This window comes from Homo sapiens, chromosome 10 (assembly GCF_000001405.40).
Source record: "Homo sapiens chromosome 10, GRCh38.p14 Primary Assembly".
Classification (NCBI taxonomy): domain Eukaryota; kingdom Metazoa; phylum Chordata; class Mammalia; order Primates; family Hominidae; genus Homo; species Homo sapiens.
Window position 1 is genome coordinate 30,776,059 of NC_000010.11, and position 19,325 is coordinate 30,795,383.

The 19,325-nt window shown below is 48.5% G+C and overlaps 2 annotated features.

Moving 5' to 3' along the window:
* Window positions 7,088–7,588: an enhancer, noted in NCBI's record as "H3K4me1 hESC enhancer chr10:31072075-31072575 (GRCh37/hg19 assembly coordinates)". NCBI's record gives its function as "activates a minimal SCP1, AML or CMV promoter by ChIP-STARR-seq in naive H9 embryonic stem cells {active_cell/tissue: H9 hESC(naive)}" and the evidence as "EXISTENCE:reporter gene assay evidence [ECO:0000049][PMID:30033119]".
* Window positions 9,075–9,384: a silencer, noted in NCBI's record as "silent region_2270". NCBI's record gives its function as "represses an Ori minimal core promoter by ATAC-STARR-seq in GM12878 lymphoblastoid cells {active_cell/tissue: GM12878}" and the evidence as "EXISTENCE:reporter gene assay evidence [ECO:0000049][PMID:35858748]".

Consider the following 19,325-nt stretch of genomic DNA (forward strand, 5'->3'; position numbering starts at 1 on the left):
ACCAGAGGGTGGGCTCAGGGCTTGGGAACCACAAATTGTGGGGTATAGGTATAGCACTGGGCTCTGGGTACCCCTCTCAAAGAGCAAACTGGCCATTAAGCACTCAGATCCGAGACTGGGCCAGGCAGCCCTTAGTGCTCCCATCACAGCATGCTCTGAAATTGGGCATCCTGCACGGAGAGGGAGGGGTTCCCTCTCAGCCCTGGGTCTCACTCCATTTCCCTGCAAATGGTCTTCATGGCTCTTGTTATCACCATTTCTAGCTCAACTCTCACGTTTTATGTCTCAGAGGTGGTGTTTATTGATACTGAACAATGCTCCTGCCACTATGCAGAACATCTGTGCTGCAGCTGCCACGGCCCGGCTGAGATTTTTGTAATAGTTTTGGGATGATTCGCTAGTACAGCACATACAGTGCTGAGAGGGCTGTGTTCTGCTAGTCAAGAGGATTTGGGATAATTGGAAATTTCAGGGTTTTTAAGGCTGTTGCTGGGTTTGGTTCCAGTGGGGAGGTTTTACTTGTTTAGGTATATAAATATTAATTGGAAACATTTATTTGTAAATATCAGAAAGAAGACTTTGTAGAGAATGACCCTCCCACTGCCCCCACAAAATAAGAATTATGCTGGAAAAGTATAGCTCAAGGCTGGGGGCAGTGGCTCACACCTATAATCCCAGTGCTTTGAGAGGCTGATGCAAGAGGATTGTTTGAGGCCAGGTGTTCGAGATCAGCCTTGGCAACATAGTGAGACCTTGCCTCTACCAAAAAATTAAAAAATAAAAGCAATAACGAGCATTAGTTGTATGACTTGTAATCCTAGCTACTTGGAAGGCTGAGATAGGAGGATCGCTTGAACCCAGGAGTTCAAGGTTACAATGAGCTAGGGTCAGACCACTGCACTCCATCCTGGGCAATAGAGCATGACTCTATCTCTAAAAATCAAACAAAAAACAAAAAACAAAAAAGAAAAGAAAAATAAAGAAAGAAGAGTGTATCTCTCTCTGCAGCAACTTAAGTCTGGCATGGGAGGGGACTTGTTCTTCCCCGTCTCTATTGTCCAGCTCTTACCCCATCTCCACCACTGCCCTAGGAAAGGATTAAGATAGAGGCAGAATGGCAGCCACCTCAATAGGGCAATGAGATTGGGAGAATACATGAGATCCTGCTTCCCAAAAGTAGCATCCCATAAAATGTTCACACATCTTCCCTTTATCCATGAAGACATAGAAAAAATGAAATAAACATTCCTTTAGTTTGCCGCTGGAGAAACAAGCTTAGAGAGAGATTCAGTGACTTGCTCAAGTCCACAGGGCAAATTACTTGTTCTAGTCTGTTTGGGCGGCTGTAAAAAAATACCTTCAACTGGGTAATTTATAAACAACGGAAATTTATTGGTAACAGTTCTGGAGGCTGGGAAGTCCAAGATCAAGGCACCAGCAGATCTGGTGTCTGGAGAGGGCTTGCTCTCCACTTCATAGATGGTGCCTTTTGCTGTGTCCTCACATGGCAGAAGAGCCAGGAAGCTCCCTTCAACCTCTTGTATCAGGGAACTAATCCCATTCATGCAGGCGGAACCCTCATGATGTGATCACTTCCCAAAAGGCCCTGCCTCTCAATACTATTACATTGAGCATTAGGTTCCAATATATGAATTTTGGGGGGACACTAACATTTAGACCATAAGCAATACTAGAATGTTCTAGAACCAAATCCACTGATAACTAAATTACCAACAGGTGAAACTATCTCTTGAGTTAGACAACAAAAGCAAACCTTTTATGCTAAAGGATTTTCAAAAGCTACTGTGAGAGAAGGGCTGTTGAGGAAAGAAGTTCTGATCCATCCCTCCTTAGCATGTCTACACATCCCATTAGTTGTTAGGCTAACAGCCCTAAAAGATTGCTATGGTTTGAACAGCCCCTCCAAAACTCATGTTGATACCTAATCCCTAATTTGGCGGTATTGAGGGGTAATGGAATCATAAGGGATCTGCTTTCATAATGGATTAAAGGATTGATGGATTAATGGGTTATTATGGGAGTGGACCTGGAGGCTTTATAAGAAGAGGCAGAAAGACTTGAGTATAGCATGTTAGGACACCAGCCATATAATGAGCACACCATGGGATGCCCTGTGCTGCCTTGGGACTCTGCAGAGTCCCCACCAGCTCGAAGACCCCCACGGGATGTGGTCCCTTGACTTTGGACTTCTCAGAAGTAATAATATTTTTCTCTGTAAATTATGCAGTTTCAGGTAGTCTGGTATAATCAACAGAAAAAGAACTGATAAAGGTTTAGATACCTTCAGTGTGTGGCACCCTGTGTTTTCCTATTAGATTTGCCTAAGGCACCCAGGAGAGCAGAGTAGAAGCCTGCAAACCTTCAGCACCCAATTCTTTGTATCTGAAAAGTTGCCAGAACCTTGCCCAGAACACTCAACTACTAAATCCTGGTGCTCCAGCTTTTGCAGGTCTTGCATTTGCACCTGTGTATTCCTGTGTTTGTGTGCCTGCTGTGTATTAAGTACTGTTTTAGGATCACAGTGATAACAAGTCGGAGAAGGCCTCTGATCTCAAAAGTGACATTGAATACACACATATGAAAAGAATGAGGAGTGGGAGGATGGGGGGAGAAGGACGAGGAGGAAGAGGAGAAAGGGGAGAAGGAGAAGAAGAAGGATAAGGAGGGGGGAAGGGGAAGAACAAGAGGAGGAGGAAGAGGAAGGAGAAGATGAAGAAGAAGAGGAGGAGGAGAAAGAAAGAATGAGAAGGAGAAAGAAAAGAAGAGGGAGAGGGAGGAGAAGGGGAAGAAGAGGAAAGGAAGGCGAATAAGAAGGAGAGGAAGAAGGAGAGGAGGAAGAAGAAGAGGAGGAGGAGGAAGAGGAAGAAGAGGAAGGAGGAGAAAGAGAGGGAGAAGGAGAAAAAGGAGAAGGATAAGAAGAAGAAGGAGTAGGAGGAAGAAGAGGAGGGAAGGAGGAAGGGGAGGAGGAGAATGAGAAGGATAAGAAGAAGAAGGAGGAGGAAGAGCAGGAGGGGAGGAGGAAGGGGAGGAGGGGAAGGGAGGAGGAGGAAGAAGAAGAGAAGGAGGAGGAAGAAAATCAGACAATGATAAAGGCTCTGCAAGACTGAAATAAGATGCTATGAAAGAGAATGATTGGGTGGTGCATAAGAGTGGAAGATCCAGGGAAGGCTCTGCTGACACTGAACTGAGATCTGAATTGCAGGAAGAAGCCAGCCATTGGAGGAATAAGGAGATCAATGATCTACACAGACAGAAAAGCCATAACATTGGGAGAAGTTTGGCTTGTTTGAGGATCTGGGGTTGGAGCACTTCCCCACTGCAGGGCGGGGAAGGTGAGGGCACTAAGGTAGGTAGGAGTTCTGTGAGCCAGGTTATATTGCCCCAAGGGCAAGGGGAACCCAATGGTGAATGTGGGAGCCATGGGGGCACTGCTCAGCTCCCACTTCAAGAGAGGACCTGCTGGGACCAGAGCAGGCAGTGGACAGCCTCCAAGTGCAGTGCCACCAAGATCCTCCTGCAGTGTTCGACCTGCGGCCATACTCCGCCCAAAGACCAATCTCTACGGGGGTGCATGAGCCCGGACTCCGTTGGGAAGCTCCTTGCTGGTCTGGCTGGGCTTTCTCAGAGCTGCAGTGTGGCCTGAAGCTCTTCCTACCCTCTCTTCTTTCCTTCAGCTCTCTCTTCTCCGGGGGTCAGACCCACATGCTGGTCTGAAGGCTCTCCCTGCCTCCTTGTGCTTCCTCTCTTCTGCATACTCTGCAGGTCTCCCCTGGTAAACTCCTTTCCTTTCCAACTGCATCCTGCCTTCTGCTTCCCAGAGAGCCTGGCCTGACAGAGTGGGGTTTTAATCAGCACGCTCTGATTATAGGGCTTCGAGTGGAGCAAATCCATCAGCAGCTGCTCAGGAACTGGAGAGAGTAAGGTGGCTTGAACCACGGCTGTGGTAGAGCAAGGGGAAGATGGTGAGTTGGGGGATGCAGCATGCTTTTTGGATGTAGAGTTGACAAGGCTTGCTGATGAGATCTGATGTGGGGGTTGGCAAAAGAGAGAAGGAAAAAATGGCCTCCAGTTTTTGGCTGAACATCAGGATAGATGGCAGGGGTATTTCCAGAGGTGGGATGACTCCATAAGGGATGAACTGGGGCCAGATCCTCAAGTCTTGGCCATGTTTGAGGGGCCTGTTAGACACTTGGAAAAGGTCTAATTGTCCTCTGGACGCAGGGGGCAAGCTGTTCTTCCCATGAAACTGTCTTCGACGCAGCAGTCAGGGTTAACAACCGCTACCATTTAGTGGGCACGTGGCACATACCAGGCGTGGTGCTAAGCACACCTATTGCCAGGATCCCAGACTCAGACCGGGCAACTGTGCCATGCTAACAGCTCTGTGGTGGAGCTACAGATGCTTAACCTGTCCTACAACAGGGCATCTGTCTTTCCAGCTATTTTATATCCAGTTGGGTCTCCTACTCTAAACTCTTTTCTAGCAGGTGGGGCATGGTAGTGTGCATCAGTAATCCCAGAAACTCAGGAGGCTGAAGTGGGAGGATCTCTTGAAGCCAGGAGCTGGAGACCAGCCCAGGCAACACAGTGAGACCCCCATCTCTAAAAAAACTTTTTTTGAAATTAGCCAGGTGTGGGGTCCTGGGGTTTCTGGGGTCCCTGCTTCTAGCCCCTCTGGCGGGTGAGCCCCGCGGGGAGGGTCCCAACGTGGCAAGGAGACCTACAAAGGGAGGCCGAGGCACCGGTGCAAGCACAAACCACACAGCAAAATTAGCCAGGTGTGGGGTCCCAGGGTTTCTGGGGTCCCAGCTACTTGGGAGGCTGAGGTGGGGAAGGCTGCTTGAGCCCAGACGTGGGAGGCTGCAGCAAGCTATGATGGCACCACTACACTCCATCCCGGGTGACAGACAGACTGAGACTTCATCTCTAAAAATAATAATAATAATAATAATAATAAGCTCCTTTCTACCAGAAACCATGTCTAGCCTATATCTGAACTCTCAAGTATGGACCATGGGGGCTTTGCCTACAGCACTGCTCAGGCAGCACGGGAATTCCCAGGAGCTTTTGGAGCTGCATCCAAACTCCAGGAAGGGCTGCCCTTTTCAGTGACCTGCCCTGGCATCCCAGTGCTGGGTGGGAGGGAGCCCTCAGCCCTCCTTCGGTGGGGTAGTGAGGTTTCTGAGCAGAAATCCCAACATCATCTTTCTCATGAGTCCCTCTTTCTGCCCTGTTTGAGAAGGACAGGTTGAAATGCCATCGCCCATCGCTGGGGGCCTCAGCCTTCACCTCTGCCCTCAGGAAAAATGCTCCTTCCCAGGAGGCTACTAACATGGACTATTTGCCTGGTAGAGCCAGGGACCCCGGGGTCCTGATGTTGGGGATCTGCAGGCCCTATCCCCTCCAATCTGCAGAATAAAATAAATCCACAGCCCTCTTCTTCTTCCCAGGCACTGAGGCATCTTCTGCAAAAATAACATTTTCTTCTCTTTCCAGAGCTATGGGTGCATGAACCAAAGGGAGGGCCAAGGCCCACTGGTCCCCATTGCCACTGGGAAGCTCGCCTGCAGGATCCGGAGTGCCTCGGCGCCATCCTCCCTGGAAGAAAGCTCCCTTGTTCCAGGCACACAAAGGATGTGCGCTGGGCAGGCGACAGGCCATGAATGCTAATGGCCCAGGCGCTTGCAGGCTCCAGCTCTGCCTGGCGGGAAAGCCAGCCTGGTGCCTCTGCCACTCTTCACGCTGAGCCAGCCCTGGCCTGGGGCTGCAATGCACATGGCAGCTCCCTTTCCTGGGGACCCCATTTCTTTGCAGTGCGGTGGCCCTGTCCCAGGCCAGAGGCGTGGAGCCCTCCCGTGCCTATCACGTGGGAGCGCCTGGGAACCCAGGCAAGCATCTGTTGCAGACTGCACAAACGTCTAAACATCCGTGCAAACTTGGACCAACAGGTCCTGCTGAAATGTGCTAACCATCTGCTTTTCCTTAGCTGTTTTTGAGCAAATTATGTTTATTATGTTAATTTATTTTACTGTCAACAACACAGAATGACACAGTTGCTGCTAAATATCATTATATATCTCAGCCTGGCATATCACCAGCAGGGCTTTTTTTATTTTGTATTAATTTTTTTGTATATACAACAAGAATAAATACATATTGAAATGTCGATCTATTTAAAATGGTGTCCGGGATGGTAAAGTCATCTGTACAGAAGGCCCTGGTTGCTCACCCTTCCAGCAAAGGCTTTTGCTAGGAGAGGCAGCACAGCGGCCATCTGGGTGGGGGCCTAGGCCTGCAGCCCGCCCAGGTCCCTCCAGACAGTTCCATGTTTGGCCAGGAACATGGGGCTTCTCAGAAGTTTGTGGGGTTAGGAAAGAGAGAGAGCGAGAGAGACAGAGACAGAGAGAGAGAGAGAGAGGCTCCCAGGCGCCTGTTTTCTTCCCCAAACGTCCTCCTCCCTTAAAAAATCCTCCCATTTTCCAGATGGCCAAGCCAGGGGGACCCAGAGGAGCCAGGCAGAGAGAGGGTGTGCCCTAGTGACTCACTGGGAACCACCCTGAAACCCAAACAGCTGGCCAGGGGTTGCAGCTTATAATAATTACGTTTTTGATCATTTCCCCCCTGCAGAGACCAATAAACTCCACATTTCCAGAGAAAGAGAGAGGAGAAAAAATAAGGGCTGCTGAGCAGGAGGGAGGGAAGCCTGACAAGGAGAAGATCGTTCTGGAAATGTACCAAATCATTGCGCGGGGCATGAAGGTACTGCTCTCCACAACTTCCTTAATGCTCAGCTAGTGGCCAAGCTAAGGAAGCTCAAAGTAGCACCATGCAGACTCAAATAGTTCATCAATTAGGTAATAAGCAACAGAAGGTAAGTGCAGTTTCCTGGGAGGAAACCAGGGCCTCAGACAGACACCAGAGCCCCTGCAGAAATGAACAGAGTTTCTTTCATTCCGCTCACAGGCCCGACTGAGATTTCATCTGCACACCCCAATTGGGGGGCAGCAGGAGAGGCCAGGGTGGGCTGCCCTGTGTCGTGGAGGGGAGGTTTGCCTGCGGACCCCTCAGAAGCTGAGAAAAATCCCCAGGTGGCGTTTTCACAGCACCAATGACCTGCATGGTCAAAAGATGTGGTAGCCAGGTGGCTGCTGGCTGTCCCTGCAAATATTTGGTTTCAGAGAATGAGTCGGATTACACAGTTTCATATTTGGAGGCTGAGAGAGCTGCGGCCGTAAGCCTCCATCCTGGCTTGTCTGCAGCAGCCAGTAGACAGCCCATAAAAACACGGGGCTTATGTTCACACAGATGGCTGTTGGTTTTATCGACTTGGGGAGAGGAGCAGAAGATGGTCACGGTGCAGCTGCCTGAGACTCTGTCAAATGGGTCTCAACTGCTGGGGACACAGTGACCATCGAGGGCCACCTGGGTCCTAGAGGCCCCATGAGGTCTGGACATTCTCAGAAGGCTCCCTCCACACCCCTGAAATGTGTACAGGACTCTGTCACTACCCACCTCCCAGAGCCACCACCCTACCTCCTCCCAGTCCCACCAAATGAATGACTAGGGCCCGGGCTTGAAGGATGGCCACAGCGCTGGTTCCTGTCCCTCTGGGTCTCAGGCTGGGCCTCCTTCCTTTCTCTAGGAGCCCACTCAATCCTTGGGAAACAATAATACACTGTTTCACCCTAAAATCGGTGCCTAAATTTTATCTCTTCAAGGGTATCTTCTGTTTAATTGGGAGCTAAGCCTTGAATCAAAGAAACGGATCCGTCATTGCAGAATGTCTTACTTAGTAGATGGCATGAAGGGAGAGCGTCTGGTGCCCTGTGTGTTAACCTCATTGCAGGGAGGAGAAGAAAGTGGGCAGAGACCATCCCAGCCCCACTAAATCCACGCTACCGCCCGGGAGGATCCCAGAAAAGGCAGGGGAAGGGGCTTGGAGAGGGAGGCTGGCCACACGGTGGTGCTATTGCCCACGGCGGTCTAGTTGGCCTCCGAACTGGGGGTGGAGGGTGGGAAGTGGTTAGAACCATCCCCAGCAAAGAGAGAAGAGAGTGCTGACTTCAACTCAGTGGCAACCAGGGGGCATAGATGAAAAAAACAAATTGCAAATTCTTCCACCTCGGCCTCAATCTCTGTGATAAAACCCTGCGGTTCTCTGATGATTTCTGGGGTGATGGGGTGGGGCTGGGTTAAGAAGAGACTTATACTGTGATTCCTGGGTTGGGGGACGGCGCTACGACTCTAAGGTTTTAAGCAGTGATCCCAGCAGGTTAACTGGGGCAGTAAGTGCTGTCTTTCTCGGGGAGGGAGGGAGTTCAGCTCCAAAGGCGGCCTGGTTCGCAGGCTCCTTTCCCTAAGATCCTTTAGAAATCGTTCCCATCCCAGAAAGGAAGCTGGGGCGCAGCTGTGAGCGCCCCCCTCTCCCCCCGCCTGCCCCCACCCCCTCTGAGCTCCCCGCTTTGCTCTGAAAAAAACCAAAAGCATCTCTCGATGCTGGGGTTTCTTCACATAAAGTGATTACCACGTGTCAGAAATAAACTGCAGTCCCCTTTGGAGAACAGTGAGGTTGGATCAAAAAGGAGAACTATTTCAAAACATGCTGCCAGCTCGTCTTTTCAAAAATTTTTCTTTTTTTTTTTTTTTTTTGGATGTGGGGAGGAGGATTTCAAAAACAAAAAAAAGTAAGTCAGTATCTTCTCACAACTGCAGCTGATTTCCTGTGTAAACGAAAACCATGTGATATTCCATAAATGCTTCCAGCTCTAAATTACAGGAAATGAAAACCATCATGGAAAAGGAAAGCTTTCAGAATAAATCCCCACTTCGGATCCCGCCGCGGCGAAGCTGCGCTGGGCCGCCCGCACACACCTGCGGGTCCCCGAGCTCGCCCGGGCGCCCCCGCCACCGTCCCCAGAGCGCGCAGGGAGCGGGGCGCGCGATCACACCCTCCGCGCTGCGCCCGACCACTCGGGCTTTCAATTAGGAGCCAAGCTGAGAAAAGTAGGCTTTTCTTTATGCACGCCTCGCCGAGGTCAGGTTACGACCTCTCAACCGTCTTCAATCGGCGGTGGCATCCATATTCATGAAGGCTAATTAACTCTGAAAGGCTCGGCGGGGCTGGCCCTCCCCGGGCCGCCCAGCGCCGCCCCCCGCGGTGCAGGGGTGGGTGAGTGGGGGCCCCGAGCCCAGTACCCTCTCCTCCCTCCCCCGACAACCCGCCAGGCATCTTCCCAGGGCCGCCCGGCCTCCGCAGCTGCTCCTGGGCCGGACTCCCGAGCACGCACTTGTGCGCGGGGACACGGGGTCCCAGGGCGCGGGGACCAGTCAGGCGAGGAGAATTAGCTGCGTCATTTGTCGCCATCCTAGCAACTCGAGCTTACTTCTCCCGATAGCTCCCTCCTGGCCGCTGCTCCCAGGGGCCGAATGTGGGAAAGGGATGCTAATTCCAAGTGAGAGTTCATGCTTGGGGTTTCAGGCAGCCTTGCAGATGGGCGGCCCTGGGACCTAGGTTATAGCCCCAAGCCAATGGACTGTGGGGGCGCGCGGGGAAGTCACTCCACCTCTCTGGGCTCTTTGCGTTTGCTCTGAGATGACAAGAGGCTGTTAGGCTGGAGAAACTCCTTTCCACTTAGTGAAACGTCCCAAGAGGTCTCTCCTGCGGCCTTATTTCCCCAGCTCTGCATGAGAATTTTTAGGTTTCCCAGTTCTGCAGGAGCCAGCAGGTTCTGAGGTTCCCAAGGGGTGGCAACTTGTAGGGTAACCTTTTCTACTTCTTCCTGTATCCATCAAGGTCCTTACATTTTAGATTTTACAAACGGACTTGAACTAGTTTAAGCAAACTAGAAAATTCTGTTTTGTGGATAGAGACTTTGCTCATGGACCCATGGGCCTGAGATACCTCCAGGCTCAGAAAGTTCTTCCTCCTTCTTTCACCTTTTCTTCTATATTCCTGCTGCTTTGTTTTTATTGGCCGACTGACTGCCTCAAGGCCTGTTTCTCAGTCCACATAGGACAGAAGATGGTCCTGCCACTGTTTATCAGTTTACATCTGCTCTATTCAACAGGGGAGTCCAGCCTGAAACTGCATCTCCAGAATTCAGGCACAAAATTCAGTTTACATCTGCTCTATTCAACAGGGGAGCCCAGCCTGAAACTGCATCTCCAGAATTCAGGCACAAAATATGGGGCTGGCCCAGCTTAGATCACATGCCCAGCTCTGGTCCAGCCAATTGAGAGCAGAGGGCCAGCCACATGGTACTCACTGCCACCATGGGACTGCCCTGTGGGTAGGGGATGAATCAGGGGTGAGCTGGCCAGAAATGGCTAAGAGCATCTTCTGCATGAACTCAAGCCTGATTTCAAGTGGGTGCAAGGTAATTTCTTTCAGAGACAGATAGCTCTCTGGGCTCCTGACCCAGAGTTGGCTTCACCTTTTTTATTTCTTTTGTTTCTTTTCAGAGATGGGCTCTCACTCTGTCGCCCAGGCTGGAGTGCAGTAGTGCAATCCACAGCCTCAAACTCCTGGGCTCAAGGGATCCTGCAGCCTCAGCCTGCAGAGTAGCTGGGACTACAGATGCGTGCCACCACATTCAGCTATTTTTTATTTTCATTTTTTGTGGAGATGAGGTCTTACATTGTTGCCAGGCTGGAGTGCAGTAATGTGATCAGAGCTCACTGCAGCCTCAAACTTCTGAGCTCAAGTGATTCTCCAGCCTCAGCCTCCTGAGTAGCTGGGGCTACAGTTGGGCACTAACCACACATGGCTAATTTAAAACAATTCTTTTAGCAGTGGGGTCTCGCTGTGTTGTCCAGGCTGGTCTTGAATGCCTGTCCTCAAGCGATCCTCCCACCTTGGCCTCCCAAAATGCTGGGATTACAAGTGTAAGCCACCACACCTGACCATGGCTTCACCTAATAAGAAAGAGGAGGGGACAGAATTCCCAGTGCAGAATTCAGGGGCACCAGGAAGAACATACCTGACCTCCCTGTACTTCTTAGCAGGGAGCCAGGGATGAAGTCAGAGGCCCACCATGACCAGAGAAGCAGACAGAGAGCCCACTCTCCATCAGAGACACTTCTGTGGCTGGGCCTGCCTATGGTGATGGGATTGCCACACTAGGGCTCCTGCTGGGTCCCCTCCATCCTGCACTAAGATGAGAGGTCTAAGGCAAGCCCTGTGCCGCCCATTCTGGGGGAACCATGGCCTACCTGCAGATGCAACTACCAAATCAACACATTAGACCGAGTCGGGAAGTGAAATACTCAGAGTTCTTAATCCTAAAAAAAGGAAATCTGCTTTAGCTAGTCCATCAGAAAACGGATTTCAGTGTACTAGTCAAGATGCGCTAACCCTACAACAACTGCAAACTCAGAGTGGCTTAAGACAATAAGAGGTTTATTCCTTGTTCATGTCGCCATGCAGGCTAGTGATCCAAGAGCCCAGGCTCCTGTCTTCTCATGGCTCCAGGGCTCTTGTCATCTCCCAGCGGATCCTCTGCGCCTTGCTAGGCGATAAGAGTGTGGGTGATTGTGAGAGGCTTTAGGGACCAGGCATGGATGTCTGTCGCTTCTCTCCACGCTCCATTAGTTGGGACTCAGTCGTGTGGCCACGCCTAAGGGCAAGGAAGGCTGGGAAAGGCAGTTCAGCTCTGTGTGTGCCTGACAACGGGGACAAAATGGGACTGGTGAGCCCTGAGCCATTCTCTTGGGAGATCAGAGCAAGCTCACAGAGTCATGGGCAGCCAGGAGTCAGAGTTGAAGCTAAACGTCCGGGAGCGATCCCTAAATCCCGCCACAGAACTTGCTGAGGAAACAGCAGTGGTTTCTGCCACTCATAAGCACAAAATGCCACAAATCTGCTTCATCACAAATGCCACATCTGCTAGATCTAATGGGACATGACCTTGCACTGTCTGGGAAACAGCATAAAAGCCAATGTCTCTGCCGTGGCTCAAAACAGAAAATTAATGCACCAGGCAGATTCCCTCCTGCACCTTTTTTCCCTTCAGGTTATTAATTTCCAAATTGAAGTCTTGCACAGGAGCATATGAAAGATAGACTTAGGTCACAAGACTTCTTCTTTCCTGCAAGGGATCCTGGGATTTTGAGTTCTCACTTTTACTCTGGGAAGGTGGGACTCATATTGTGAGCTTGTCCTGTAGTCAGGTAATAGATGGCATCTATGAGCAAGACAAATGTCCCCCATTGGAGGTGAGCAAAGAGGGAGGCCCCTGGCTATTGCAGCTCTGGCTGGGCCTAGGTAAAATGGTGTTGAGGATGAGTTATAAACTATGTCCAAGCTTGCACAAGCAAAAGGCCAAGTGGCAGAAACATAGGTCCTTGGAGTCAGGAGGAAAAGTCAAAGGTTATCAGTCCAGTTCCCAACTTCACACAGGCATCCTGTCTACCAAAAGTGCCCTATGATGGGTCAGCCCCACTGAAACATTCACCGGGATGGGTGACTCAGCACTGCCTTACAAGGCAGCCTCGTGGATCACTTTTTGTTCTTAGGAGTTTCTTTTTTTAGGTGAAGCAGAAACCTGGCTTTCTAGAACCTCTACCTCTGGCCTGAGTTCTGTCCTGGGAAGCCACACAGAACGAATCTGCTTTTCATGTGTATGACAATTTTAATGTTCCACTCTTCTGTGGTTTTTCTCATCTTCTTGAGGCTGAACATCCCTTCTTCTCTACACTCTGTTCCTCACATGGTGATCTCTTAAGAGAGACCCATGGGCAGAGGGTAGAGGGACAGATCCCCAAATGGCAGTGCTGTAAATTTCACCACTCCCTGAAACAGTCTCAGAGGGGTGCATACACATCCCAATGTGATTGATGGGAAAATGGAGAAATCAAAGCAAGAGAAGAAATCCAGGGTCCAGATCAAGACTTGGAACCACTGTCCTCGAGTTTCTGCGGACGCCACTCCCATGAGATCTGTCCTCCCTGGGCCCATTTAATGCACCACCTATCCCTGTGCTGGGTCCCAAGCCTGGGGAGCTTCACATTGACACCTTCAACAGTTACTGCAAACAGTTACAGATGCTTCAGGTGGGACAGAGGTAAACAAGTCCTCTTGTAAGAGCCTCTAAGTTGTTGCTCTGAAGGTGAGTGTGGTGACAGTGGGGAAAGGGTTGTTTACCCTGAATTTTTCTGTTAGAAAAAAGAAGGAAATTTATGTCTCTTCATGAAATCCTACCTGTCATCTCTGCTGTGCTCAGCCTAACGGGTCCCCATGACAAAGGAAGGGAGCTCTTATCAAAGGAATCACTGGCGATTGTGTAGAGACGGTCTGGAAATGATGGCTATAATAGATATCCATTGTGGCCAAGTTCAAATGTGGATATTTCACAGGATGGCCCGACCATCTAGACCTTGGACTTAAATCATTGTTCATTCCAGAAGTCCTGGATCCTTTGCTGTTTCCAACTCTCTTAACTCACTGTTTTCACAATTATGAAGGAAATAGAAGTTTATTGTAAATATCTGGAAAATATATATGTGTATAAAGAAAAAAACTAAAATGGCCAGGACCAACCACTGCTAACAATTTAGTGCCTCTGGTCTGGGTTTTTACATGTATTTGTGTATAGTCATGTTAATGTCATGCTGTGTATACAATTTTGCAGACTTTTTCTCATTTAATGTTGGGTTGTGAGCATTTTGCCATATGGATTCTTAGAGAATATGGTTTAAGACTGGATCACATCCATTCTTTCATGTGCTTATTCTTCAGTCAGGGAATATGGTGTGCCAGGCACTGTTGTAGGTTTCAGGGACATTTTGGGGGACACAATAGTAAACAAGACAGCCAGCGCCCTAGCCCTCATGGGACTTATAATCTGGAGAGAGGGGCGGAAGTGGAGAAGCAGTCATGACAAGGGGGATGAGTGGGGCGGAACACGAAGAGTGTCACACCAGCGTGTAGCAGAGTCAGAAGTGGGTGCGCGGGTGGCTTCTCAGAGGAAAGCATGCTGAAGCAGAGCCCTGAGGGATAAATGCAGAAAGCGGTCTGACTCCTGACAGAGGAGGTAGAAACAAGACTTGGATGTGAGGGGGGAACACTGGATGACTTCAAGGTTTCTTTCTTTCTTTTTTTTTTTTTTTTTTTGAGACGGAGTTTCGCTCTTGTCGCCCAGGCTGGAGTGCAATGACGCGATCTTGGCTCACTGCAACCTCTGCCTCCTGGGTTCAAGCAATTCTTCTGCCTCAGCCTCCCAAGTAGCTGGGATTACAGGTGCCCGCCACCATGCCTGGCTATTTTTTTTTTTTTTTTTGTCTTTTTAGTAGAGATGGGGTTTTTACCATGTTGGCAGGGCTGGTCTCAAACTTCTGACCTCAGGTGATCTGCCCACCTTGGCCTCCCAAAATGCTGTGATTACAGGCATGAGCCACCACTCCAGGACTCAAGGTTTCTTATTTGAGCAACCAGGCAGTTTGGTCTTTAACTAAGTTCCTGGTGTGGGAACTTTAGGTTGTTTCTACTTTTCTTTCTTTTTCAATTTTAATTTATTTATTTTTTTTTAGAAACAAGGTCTCACTCTGTTGCCCAGGCTGGAGTGCAGTGGCACAGTCACAGCTCACTGAATCCTCAAACTCCTGGGCTCAAGCAATCCTCCTGCCCCAGCCTCCTAAGTAGCTTTGACTACACCACGCCCAGCTAATTTTTAAATTTTTCTGTAGAGCTAGGATCTTGCTATGTTGCCCAGGCTGGTAATGAACTCCTGGCCACAGGTGATCCTCCCACCTTGGCTTCCCAAAGTGCTTGAATTACAGGTGTGAGCCACCACTCCTGGCCCACTTTTTTTCTTTAAAAAGTACCCAGCTTGTGGTCTTCCGTCATAGCAGCAGAGAAGGGATTAAGACACACAGAAAATAGTGAAAGCCACATATGATCATGAGCCCACATTCTCAGGACGCATCATCGTCCCACGGAATATCTCTCCATGTTGAGTCCCACCTAGGGTCCTGGTAAAACTGGGGAGGGGGACCCTGTGGACCCCTTGGCCTCCTGGAATGTCACTTCCTGGATGGTAACTCTCAGAAGACTTTCTGGCCAGGGCCCAGGAAGGGTCACCTCTGATAGAACCTTGATAGACTGCGGGGCACTGTCCTGCCTGGAGAAGGCTGATTCCAGGAATAGGCTCTGTCACTTCTGCCTCCGCTGGGGAGGGGGCGTGGGGAAGAGAACTTAGCCTTGAACAAAAAGTACTGTTGTAAACGGAGTGAATCTTTTTATTTTACCAGAACCAGATGTATAAATGTACCAGGAAAAAGGGAAGCCAAAGGTTAGAAAAACAGACTACTGCCATCGGGAACAATGAAGTTTTATTGCCATGCTTGTCAATGGCTTGGAGTTTACAAGTTAAAAGCCTGTGCTAGACACACTGTGGGCCATTGGAGGGTGGAGGAGCCTCCTGCTGAGGATAGGAGAGCATGGGCAGGACAAGAACCTCCATGCCTGCGTCCAATACCAGGGGTGGCCAGGGCTCCCTGCCTGCCTCTGGACATCTAGATCCCTCTTCATAGACTATCTGCAGTTTGGAAGGTCCTCTTTGACTTGAATTCTCCACCATCAGCCAGGTCTCATCTGTGACCAAAATCTCATCATTGTCTAAGCACCCAGATCATGACCCTCAGTATTGCATTCTGTGGTAGCCATGTTTGTTTACTCATCCACGGATGTCAAACCTGCAGAATATCAGACTCAGCCATGTGGAGACCTGGGTGTGTTCACGCTGATGTGTGAGTGTGTACACAATTCATATATTATTGCCAACTATCAAAGACCACAATTACTTTTGCACCAACCTAATTTAATTAATTCATTTTAATGGCAAAGACCGCAATTACTTTTGCACCAACCTAATACAGTGAGAACATCACCTTTTCCTTTGCTCCCAACTCGCCATTGTATACCTTTCCCCCTCCCTCCAAGTAAAAGCAGAGACATTCCTATGGCTCTCAGGTGCCACATGCCGTGGCCCCTGCCAACCCTCTGGCTCAGTCTCCTGCTCCACTCCAGCCACTAACCATTATGCCACTTTTCCACCATTAGGCAGGCTGCCACACTGTGCCCAGAATGTTCTGTCTCCAGATATCTGTTTTTCTCCCCTCCTTCAAGTCTTTTCTCAAATGTCACCTTCTCAGGAGACCGTGCCTGAGCATCCTGTTTACAACATTGTCCCCTCCCACCTCTACTTCCTACCCTCTTCCTGCCTTAATACCTCTCCATAGCATTTCTCACTTTCTAGCATACCATTTAATTTACTTGTGTATTATATATTGTCTCCATTACCCATATTATAAGCTCCCCAAGAGATTTTTTTGTTTTGTTCACTGCTGTAATCCTAGTGTCTAAAATAGTGCTTATCTGTTGAATGAATGAATGAATCACATATGGATTTCTGTGCAGAGCATTTCAAATAGTGGGCTGGACTTTCCTTCCAACACCCATCCTGGCTGTCTGGGTGTATTTAGGGAGTGCAATCTCATTCTGATATTAACCTGAGCTAAGCAGAATTTTAAAGGCAGAAGTTATAGAAAAATACTAAAGATATTCCCAAATCAAATACAATACATTGTTTGTGATGGTGTATTTGCTCACGCTAATGGAGTTGTATCAGACATCCCTTGTGCATACTTCAAATTCTCCTGGCCCTGCTGCAGTGGCCAATTCCAGGTAGACTCTGACTAGCTTTGCCAGGAGCCACCTGAAAACACCACCTCAGGCCCCTGCATTACACCTCTCCATTCCTGGCTCAGAACTTTTACTAGCACACAGAAAACTGCTTGGCATTTACACATGTGCAACTTGGAAATGTGGGGACTTAATGCTCATGGGTCCATTCTCAACCAGTGGGGAGAGAAATTGATGGATAAAGGCTTCTGCGTTTTGTCCCCTAGCAGGCAGTTTGGAGAACCACTCCTAAGTTCCTCGGAAGGTACCCTAGAAAGGAGTACCAGTCGTCTATATTGATTGCCAAATGGTAAGTGGGTGGTGATAACATCTGATATGCAATAGCATCATAATTATTCAAATGGTTACCTGCAGTGGATTGGGATGAGGTGCAGCTGGAAGGTAAAGTATTGGGATATGTGGTAGCTGTGGCATCTCAGCAGCGTAGAGACAATGGTAATTGCAAGGATTGCAAAGTTGGCCAGGTGTTGTTACCAGATAAGTTTAGGACAGGCAGTTATAGTCATATGTCGCTTAATGACAGGGATACAGTGTGACAAATGGATTCTTAGGCAATTTTGTGGTGCAAACACCATACAGTGTACGTATGCAAACCTAGATAGTATGGCCTACTACACACCTAGGCTCTATGATATAGCCTTATTGCTCCTAGGCTACAAACATATATCTGATGTTACAGTACTAAATACTGTAGGCAGTTGTCACAAAATGGTGTTTGTGTATCTAAATGTATCTAAACAAAGAAAAGGTACTGTAAAAATATGATATTATAATGTTATGGGAGCAACATTGTATATGTGGTCTGTGTTGACCAAAATGTTATGCACTGCAGATTGTATTAACTCAAGGTACACTGTGGAAGCCAAAGAGCCTCTATGGCAGCATTTAAGGGAATGATTATCACCTGCAGTCTGCAGGGCAGAATGTGCTGAAAATTAGATCCATGATCTAATTGTGAGACTGGCCAAACCACAATCCTTTGTCTCCCATGTCAAATTCGGAACACTGATGGGAAAATAGTAGGACTCTGAGGCTTGGAATGAGGACATTTGTATAGATAATCCCCAAAAATCTTGAACCCAACTCCCCTGAATGTTCCAAGCTCTCATCTGCTAGAGGAAAACAGCCTCTCCTTGCCTGGAAAACTTGAAAGACCTTACTTGCAGTAAGTAGCTTATGAGATGACATTCATTTATCCTTTTCAAGATTCACCTCAACTCTTTTTCTTCAGGATAATTATGCTTAAGTCTCAGCCCAGCCCAAATGGGGAAGCAGTCTGTGCTTTGGGAGAAAATAGCTTATATGCCAAAGGAATTAAAAATCTAGCAGGAATATGAGGAACAGGTATAGGAGAAGCTCTTAATGACACTGGACTGAGTATGTGGCGTAAATGTCAAAAAAGAAGTGAATGTAGTGACTTGGGGATGTCATTCATGATTTGCGTTCAATTCCTAGTAAAGACACCTGAGCCAGTCCTCACACTGCCAGGAAGACTTCTTATTCTTCTTTTATTTATTTTTATTTATTTATTTATTTATTTATTTATTTATTTATTTATTTTTTGAGACGGGGTCTTTCTTTGTGGCCTGGGCTAGATTGCACTGGTGCAATTAGAGCTTACTGCAGCCTCAACCTCATGGGCTCAAGCAATCCTCCTAACTCAGCCTTTTGAGTAGCTGGGACTACAGGTGTGCACCACCACATCCAGCTAATTAAAAAATTTTTTTTTCACCAGGTGCAATGGCTCACGCCTGTAATCCCAGCAGTTTGGGAGGCTGAGGTGGGTGGATCACCTGAGGTCAGGAGTTCAAGATGAGCCCAACATGGTGAAAATCCATCTCTACTAAAAATATATATATAAAAAAATTAGCTGGGCGTGGTGGCACGTGCCTGTAGTCCCAGCTACTTGGGAGGCTGAGGCAGGAGAATCACTGAGCCCTGGAGGCGGAGGTTGCAGTGAGCCAAGATCATGCCACTGTACTCCAGCTGGGCTTCAGAGTGAGACTCCGTCTCAAAAAAAAATTTTTTTCTAGAGATGGGGTCTCCCTATGTTGCCCAGGCAGGTCTTAAACTCTTAGGCTCAAGGGATCCTCCTGCTTTGGCCTCTCAAAGTGCTGGAATTAAAGGTGTGAGCCACTGCACCTGGCCCGGGAAGACTTCTTGAAGTTTGGGTGTAATGGTAGACTTTAGTAAACGAGGTGGAGATGCCGGAGTTGCCCTTGCATAATATTGAGGAAAAAGTTGGAAGGCACAGGAACGTGGGAAGGTGAGAATGCAACTATTAAGTTAAGCTAGTTAATTCCTCATTTGGTCATCTTCTCTGTGAAGGCCCAAAGGACACTTCCTTCACTAAAGCAATAAGGAATATATGGGTGGTCGGGGTGAGGATGGCTGGTTGGTGTATTTGTCCATTCTCAAACTGCTTTATTTATTTATTTATTTATTTATTTATTTATTTATTTATTTATTTTGAGACAGAGATTTGCTCTTATTACCCAGGTTGGAGTGCAATGGCGTGATCTCAGCTCACTGCAACCTCCATCTCCCAAGTTCAAATGATTCTCCTGTCAGTCTCCCAAGTACCTGGGACTACAGGCATGCAACA